The sequence below is a fragment of the Homo sapiens genome, chromosome 2 (genome assembly GCF_000001405.40).
Source record: "Homo sapiens chromosome 2, GRCh38.p14 Primary Assembly".
Classification (NCBI taxonomy): domain Eukaryota; kingdom Metazoa; phylum Chordata; class Mammalia; order Primates; family Hominidae; genus Homo; species Homo sapiens.
In genome coordinates, this window is record NC_000002.12 from 22,316,679 (window position 1) to 22,325,258 (window position 8,580).

At 38.9% G+C, this 8,580-nt stretch overlaps 1 annotated feature.

Moving 5' to 3' along the window:
• Positions 7,834 to 8,334: an enhancer, noted in NCBI's record as "H3K4me1 hESC enhancer chr2:22547384-22547884 (GRCh37/hg19 assembly coordinates)". NCBI's record gives its function as "activates a minimal SCP1, AML or CMV promoter by ChIP-STARR-seq in naive H9 embryonic stem cells {active_cell/tissue: H9 hESC(naive)}" and the evidence as "EXISTENCE:reporter gene assay evidence [ECO:0000049][PMID:30033119]".

Here is an 8,580-nt window from a genome sequence, read left to right on the forward strand (position 1 = left end):
TCTGTAATCCCAGCACTTTGGGAGGCCATGGCAGGTGATCACTTGAGGCCAGGAATTTGAGACCACCCTGGCTAACATGATGAAACCCTGTCTCTGCTAAAAATACAAAAAGCTGGGCATGGTGGTGGGCACCTATAATACCAGCTACTCAGGAGGCTGAGGCAGGAGAATAGCATGAACTTGGGAGGTGGAGGTTGTAGTGAGCCGAGATCACACCACTGCACTCCAACCCGGGCAACAGAGCAAGACTCTGTCTCAGGAAAAAAAAAAAAAAAAAAAAGTAAAGAGACAGTATCCTTGTCCCAAGGTTCAAGTTTATTTTTATTTCCTGTTACACTAAATAAAACATGGGTGTAAAACATAGGTGACTTATAGACAAACCCACCCTCACACGATTCTTCACTTTCCACTTTATCTTACCTTTTATTATGACAGCCCTAGTAGCCCTACACCTAATATTTCTACACGAAACAGGATCAAATAACCCCTCAGGAATCCCTTCCCACTCTGACAAAATTACCTTCCATCCCTACTACACAACTAAAGATATCCTAGGCCTATTTCTCCTCCAAAGTTTGAATGTCATAAGTTCCCTGTAGTTCCCTGTTATGACTTTATTGCTCCTACACTGATATGTGTGTGTGTGTACGTGTGTGTATGTGGGGGATCAGTCACATGGTGGGAAAAACTATAGGGAAAGGATGCAAACCTTCTGAAAGGTCAGAAGGTTCTGCAGAGCCCCAGGGGAGAATAGCTGAAGGCAGCTGTTCTATAACCCTGAAGCAGAGGGCAAGGAGTAGGTACAACGGAATGTGGAGGAATTTATCTTAAACAGGCTTGTTTACTTATGTTGACCAGAAACTTACCTTTGATCATCGGCGTGCATGACATTCCCTGAAAGGGGAACAATAAATGTTAATTCCCTACAGGTTGTGTTGGCTCCAGGTTTTCGGCGTTGTGCCTGCCCTGAATATAAGCAAGCAGCTCCAGCTTCTTGGGGCTGCTCTCTGGCCACTAGAGTCAGGCAGTCACCTAGCTGCTCTTACACTGCATACCTGTGTCTGAGTACTCATTTCATCCATTGGCCAAGGTCTGCGGGACAGACCTGGCATGTGTACGCCTATATTCCCTTTTATACAGAAGAAGTTGTCTTTGAATTGTTACTTTTTGTATGATTGAGTTAGAGATATGTTAGGAGACAGAGTTTGGGTATGGGCAGCTCTTTAGGTCAGTTTTCACAGAAGCTTATCCTCCGATTGAATTTTTATGTAAGTGCTTTCTTAAGGGAATATCCCCAAGAAAAATGTGCAAGTGAACAGGTGAGGCAGAGCAGGAAACGGGAAAATGCCAAACAAGGGTGTAACTTCAGGCAAAGTCCCCTGATTTTGTTTCAATATTATCCTGCAGGGGAGCATTATATTAGGATAGGCATTTTGCCATCATGTTTGTTTCAGGGGTAGTAGTCATCATTGGCTACTAACATCTTGCTTCATTTTTTTTTTTTTCTGCAACCAAACAACTTCTGTAGTCCAAAGTCAGTCCCTTAAGAAAGACATCTGGATGTAGAGCTGAATACAAATGTCCACCTGAGGAAGGAGACATAGAAAGTGTCAGACATTTTGGAAAGGGTCTGCATGTAGCTTCCCTCTCTGGCTTTCTGGGGGCTGCTTCAGGTACAGCTGTTCCCAAACCAGTAGAAAGGGTAAACCAGAGGAAATAAAGAGGAGGAGTTACATTAAAAAGAAAAGACATAAACGTTGTATTAATTCCCTGTGTTCATATTTCTGATAAAAACCAATTCAAATGCCCCTACCTAACTGTGTGGGAAGCTAAGAAATGTAGCTCAGCTGAAATTCTATCCCTGGGGAGGATAGAGCAAACAGATTTGGCAAGAGACAACTAGCAATCTTCCACAGAGGCTGTCAGTATATGGATTTTAGGTATACTTCTGGGATGGGATAGGGTTACCCAAGGAGTAAGAATAGTTTCAAAAGAAAAGAGACTTTAGAATACTAGTAGGGGCCAGGCCCAGTGGCTCATGCCTATAATCCCAGCACTTTAGGAGGCTGAGGTGGGTGGATTACTTGAGCTCGTGAGTTCGAGACCAGCCTGGGAAACATGGTAAGACCCCATCTCTCCAAAAAAAATAACAGTTAGTCAAGTGTGGTGCACGCACCTGTAGTCCCAGATACTCTGGAGGCTGAGGTGACAGGATCACCTGAGCCTGGGAAGTCAAGGCTGCAGTGAGCTGTGATCGCACCACTGCATTCCAGCAGAGTGAGACCCTGTCTCAAAAAAATATATATATACATATATATATATGTGCGTGTGTGTGTGTGTGTTTGTGTATGTATGTATAATATGCCTAGCAAAGCAGAGAATTAAGCCCAGGTAGGTAGCAGTTACTGGCGATCTGGTAGGAAAGGGTAAACTAGGAGAATGTGGCATTACCAAAGCCTGGAAAAGAAAACGTTTCAAGAAGGATGAAGGGATGACATGCACATTCTAGAGGTATTCTAGACAGCAAGAAGACAAGGATAAGACATGTAGCCTGTTTCCATGGGACTGACACTGGAGTGTGTTTGGGTGACAGTGAACAAAATAGTGGGTTAAAAGTAGGAAAAGGAGGCCAGGCGCGGTGGCTCACGCCTCTAATCCCAGCACTTTGGGAGGCCGAGGTAGGCAGATCACGAGGTCAGGAGATCAAGACCATCCTGGCTAACATGGTGAAACCCCGTCTCTACTAAAAATTCAAAAAATTAGCCAGGCGCGGTGGCGGGCTCCTGTAGTCCCAGCTACTCGGGAGGCTGAGGCAGGAGAATGGCGTGAACTCAGGAGGCAGAGCTTGCAGTGAGCCGAGATTGTACCACTGCACTCCAGCCTGGGCGACAGAGCAAGACTCTGTCTCAAAAAAAAAAAAAAAAAAAAAAGTAGGAAAAGGAGGCATAGGTTCAGGATGGGTGAGGACACAAGAAGGGATAAAAGATCAGGTAGGAAGAATTCTGTGCTTTTTTCAGAAAAGAAGCAGAAGATTGACAGGTAGAAAATAATGAGAAAGGACTTTTTTGGTTAAATTTCTCAGGAAGTTCTCTTGGCCCTTCTTTTTCTCTAACCCTGTGATCTATTCAGCATCTACCCATGCTGGTGTAGCATGCCAATAGCAACTCCTTGTTGCTAGGAATTTTTTGAAGCAATCAATCTCACCATCCTGAAAGAAGTGAGAGGAAATTCAAGATGAAATTTGGGAAAACATCCTGTTAAGACTGAAATCATTTAGAATAAAGTGACAGTTTGGAGAATTGGTAATTAGAATTTAAATTTGATCAATTAATTTTTGTCAAGCATCAAATAGGATGGGTGCAGTGGCTCACGCTTGTAATCTCAGCACTTTGGGAGGCCGAGGAGGGTGTGGCAGATCACTTAAGGTCAGGAGTTCGAGACCAGCCTAGCCAACTTGGTGAAACCCTGTCTCTACTAAAAATACCAAAAAAATTAGCTGGGCATGGTGGCACATGCCTGTAATACCACCTACTTGGGAAGCTGAGGCAAGGGAATTGCTTGACCCTGGGAGACAAAGGTTGCAGTGAGCCGACAGCACACCACGGCACTCCAGCGTGGGCAACAGAATGATACTTCATCTCAAAAAACAAAAACAAAAACAACAAAACCATCAAATTATCTTGGAAGTCAAGTACTTTGGAAGTTTATTTTTCTATTTCAAATAAAAATAAACACACTTTTTAAATTTATTTGTAAATTTACATACATTAAATATCACTACTTTGGGGTACAATTTGATGATATTGGAAAAATAAGCAGAGTTGCATAAGCACTGCTACAAGACACAGAACAGTTCTATTACCTCAAAATCCACTTAGCAGTCCTTTCATATTAAACAAATCTTAACTCCTAACTCCTGGCAACCATTGATTGTTTCATCCCGACAGTTTGTTTTTTAGAGAACGTTATAAAAGTATAATCATATGGCATAAATAGCCTTGTTGGTAAATCTCTCCTACAGCAATCTATGTGAGATTTACCCATATTGTTTCATGTATAAATAGGTCATTCTTCTGCAAGGCTTTGGAGTATTCAATTGTCTGGATGTACTAAAATGTATTTATCCATTTGCCCATTGAAGGACATTTGGGTAGAAATGTTAGAAATAAAGCTAAAAATAAATGTTCATATTTGGTTTTGTGTGGACATGAGTTTTATTTCTCTTGGTAAATATGTAGGAGTGGTATTGGTAGATCACATGCTAAGTATCCATCAACTATATTACAAAGTGGTTTTACCGGCTTGCATTCTTATCAGCAATGAATAATGGTTATTCTTGTTCTGTGTCCTCCACAGAACTTGGTATTGTCAATTGGCTTTGTTTTTCACCTTAGCCATACTAATAGATGTGTAAAAGTATCTCTTTGTGTTTTTAATTTGCATTTTTCTAAAGACTAATGATGTTGAACTTCATTACTTTTGGTTATTTGTGATCTATTCATCTCCTTTGGTGAAGTATCTGTTTGTAACCTTTTTATTGGGTGTTTTGTTTTCCTATTACTGAGTTTTGAGAGTGTTTAGTATTTCCTGAGCACAAGTCTTTGTCAAATATGTGGTTGGCAAATATTATCTTCAAATCTCTGCTTTGTCTTTTCAGCCTCTTAAAAGTGTCTTTCACAGAGCAAAATGTTTTCATTTGTTGAAGTCCAACTTCTGAGGGTTTTTTTGTGATGAATTATACTTTTTGTGCCATATCTAAGAATACTTTCCCTAATTCAAGGTCATAAAGCTTTTCCCCTATGTTTTCTTCTAAAAGATTTTTAATTCAAGATATCACATTTAGATATATTGTCTTTTTTTGTTGTTATTTGTTTATATACTGTGAGGGATGGTTTGAGTTCCATTTTATTTTGTAAGTTTGGCTTTGAACTGATAACTCAGAGGGAGGAACAGACAAGCCGAGCCCTAAGATTGCTGCACCTTACTACTGAAGAGAGTTTGCAGACTTCAGCTCAAGAAAGGGAACCCATCCAAAGGGTGGCAGTTTCCCTGAGTTGGGGAGACTAAGATGCAACTTCAAGAAGTAGGCCAACAGGGTAAGTTTTCAGGACACAGTACTGAAGAGGAGAGACCTACACAGTGTATGCACAGACACACAAACTCACACAGAGCACTCTGAAAAACTGCAGAGGTTCTCCGTTAAATTTTAAGCAGAGCACTGATCAGCACATGCCTGCAAGGAAACTACCTGAGGCTGGGAAAAAAATATGCAAACCCCCAAAATGATTAAAGGGAACAATGTGCAGAGGTTGCACACAGGATCAGGAATAGGCTGCCTTCTCACTGTTACAGGATTATAGAGTGGAAAACTACATAATTCTCCAGATATTGAAGAGAATACTCGAAGGGGTATTTACCTAAATCGTAAACTAATATTAGCCCTATACCAAAGGCTGCTCTGATTAGCTCATCACAAAACTTAAGCAAGGCTCAAAAGGTTCTAACAGTGTGTAAGTAGTTGAAAGGCACCCCAGGGCAAAGCTCAATAATATGTATATGGATGCAAAAATATCCACACCCCAAAATCCACAATACCTACCATTCACTCAACCATCATGGTTGATCAATTAACCATCATGCAAAAAGCAGGAAAATACTATAAATAAATAAAAATAGACTGATAGGAATATAAATTGATACACCTATTATAATAACCTGTATAGAAGTTCCTCAAACAAACAAACAAACAAAAATAGAATGGTAATTTAATCTAGAAATCCCATTTCTGTGTATTTACATGAAATATTTGAAATTAGTAGTGTCAAAGAAATGTCGGCACCCCTATGTTTACTGCAGCATTATTCACAATAGCCAAGATGTGGAAGCAATTTAAGTGTTCATCAACAAATGAATGAATAAAGAAAGTGAAGTATATATATATATATATATATATATATACACTGGAACACAATTCAGTCTTGAAAAAACAGAAATTTTGTCATTTGTAACAACTTGGATGGAATTAGAAAACATTATGCTAAGTGAAACAAGCCAGAAACAGAACGACAAATACCACATGTTCTCACTCGTATGTGGAATCTAAAATAATGGAACTCAAAGAAATGGAGAGTAGAATGGTGGTCAGTCATCAGAGGACAGGGGCTTGGGATATATGGGGAGATGATAGTTGAAAGGTACGAAGCTGCAATTAGACAAGAGGAGTAAGAATTTTTTTCTTTCAGATATATTCCACACCATGGATATAGTCAATAATAATGTATTACACACTTCAAAATTGCTAACAGAGTAAATTTGAAATGTTCTCACCAAAAATAAGTATTTGAGGTGATAGATATGTTAATTAGTTTGATTTAATTATTCCACATTGTATTCATAAATCATAACATCATGTTGTATCCCACAAATATATACAACTATCACCAGTCAATTTACAATTTAAAATGTTTTAAAAGACTCAGAAATGACACAAATGATAGAATTAGTAAACAAAGACATACAAATAGTTATTTGTATAACTATTTGTATAATATTATACAAATATTTATAACTATAATTATAACTATAAATTTGTTATAAATAGTTATAACAAATAACTATATTCCTTACATTTATGGCAATTGAGGAAATTTTGAACATGTTAGAGACAAATATTAAAATCAAACTTTTGGAGTTTAAAGTAAAGTAAAACCTGTACTGGATGAAATTAACAGCAGATTTAGCACTGCAGAATAAGAAAATTCATTAACTTAAAGACGTGGGAAAACTATCCAAGATGAAATCCAGAGGAAGAAAAACAGTTCAGAAAAAAATAAACAGAGCATCAGTGAGATATGGAATGATGTCCAGTAGCCTACTGTATGTATAATTGGAGTCCTTAGAAAGTTGCTTTTTATATTTTGTCTAGTGTTTTTCATAGTGATCAGTGAGATAGACAGATTGCATTGGACTTATCCCACCTGATTGAGCACCACGCAAATAATAGCCTTTTACAATCACTTATAGAATTCAATCACTTTTGCTACCGACAACTGATAAATATTTATTCAGTTGACTAGTTACGAAGATGGTCAACCTCAGCCATTAATAATCTATTGAAAGAAACTACCATTATATATATATATATATATATATAATATATTTAATAATGGCTGCCACATATATATGGGCTTTGCCAATTTGTTTCACTTTTCCCTTTTGTGTTTTTGCTCTATGAAGATTATGAATTTCCCATTGTAGATTCTCTCACCTTCAGTAGAAAAATTATGACTTGTCTTAAAATTGAATAAGTACAACGAAGAAAAGCCATCGAATGACCAACTTTAATGCTAGTCTCAAAGGAAGAGTGTAGCCAATTTATTTGATGTATTGACTGTAATAAAAAATCCTTTGAGATGATTCAAATTCCTTAATACTCTGAGTTTCAGTCTGACTAATCACCTTTCATAGTAAACATTTGGCAATCTGTACTAAATTTTCAAAATCTTGCTATTCAAAAATAAGTTCCTATGTGAGCTAATATGTTTAGTCGTCACTTAAACTAACCAAATAGAATGGACTAAAAAGAATCAGAAAAGTAGTTTCATTAATTCTCACACAGGGAATGCAGGATTCTCCTGCAGGCATCTATGCTCCAGAGAGAAATTTTAAATTCCTGGCAGGAAAGTGAGAGATAATTCCATGGTGATTTTTGGTATAAGGAGCTAAACTACCACACTTCTTGCATCCTGATTGGATGTGCATTTGGCCATTTTTGAGATGTGTTATATCCTGGGGACCTATACAGGCGAGTCACCTGTGTATGATCGCAGGACATAGATGGGTTCGGGTCTTACAATCTCTTACTTAGATTACTCCAACAGCCTCTTAACTGTACACCCAACCTCAAAGCACCACTGTATTTAAACCCTTATGAAAATGGATACAGAGTGTTGTGTGTTTATTCTCTCTTCAAAGCCACCTAATTTTCTGGTACCCCCAGGATTGTATCCACTGTCCTTAGCACGACATTTCTTTACCTAGTTTTCAACACTAATATTGTATTCGCTTTCCCCATCACACACACCAGTGTTTATAAGACACTGTTGTGCAAAAGGTTCACCTTGAATGCCTTTTTAAATTCAGGCTTTATAGTGTGAAAGGGACTCAGGAGACTGCTTTTTTTTTTTTTTTTTTTTTTTTTTTTTTGAGATGGAGTCTTGCTCTTTCGCCCAGGCTGTAGTGCAGTGGCACGATCTCGGCTCAGTGCAAGCTCCACCTCCTGGGTTCACGCCATTCTCCTGCCTCGCCTCCTGAGTAGCTGGGACTACAGGCGCGTGCCACCACACGCGGCTAAGTTTTTGTATTTTTCATTAGAGACGAGGTTTCACCATGTTAGCCAGGACGGTCTCGGTCTCCTGACCTCGTGATCCACCCACCTCGGCCTCCCAAAGCGCTGGGATTACAGGCGTGAGCCACCGCGCCCGACCAGGAGACTGCATTTTTAACAAATTTTCTGGGAATTAGTAACATAGGTGGTCCAGGGGCTACACTCCAAGAAATACTGCCTAATGTCCCATCCTC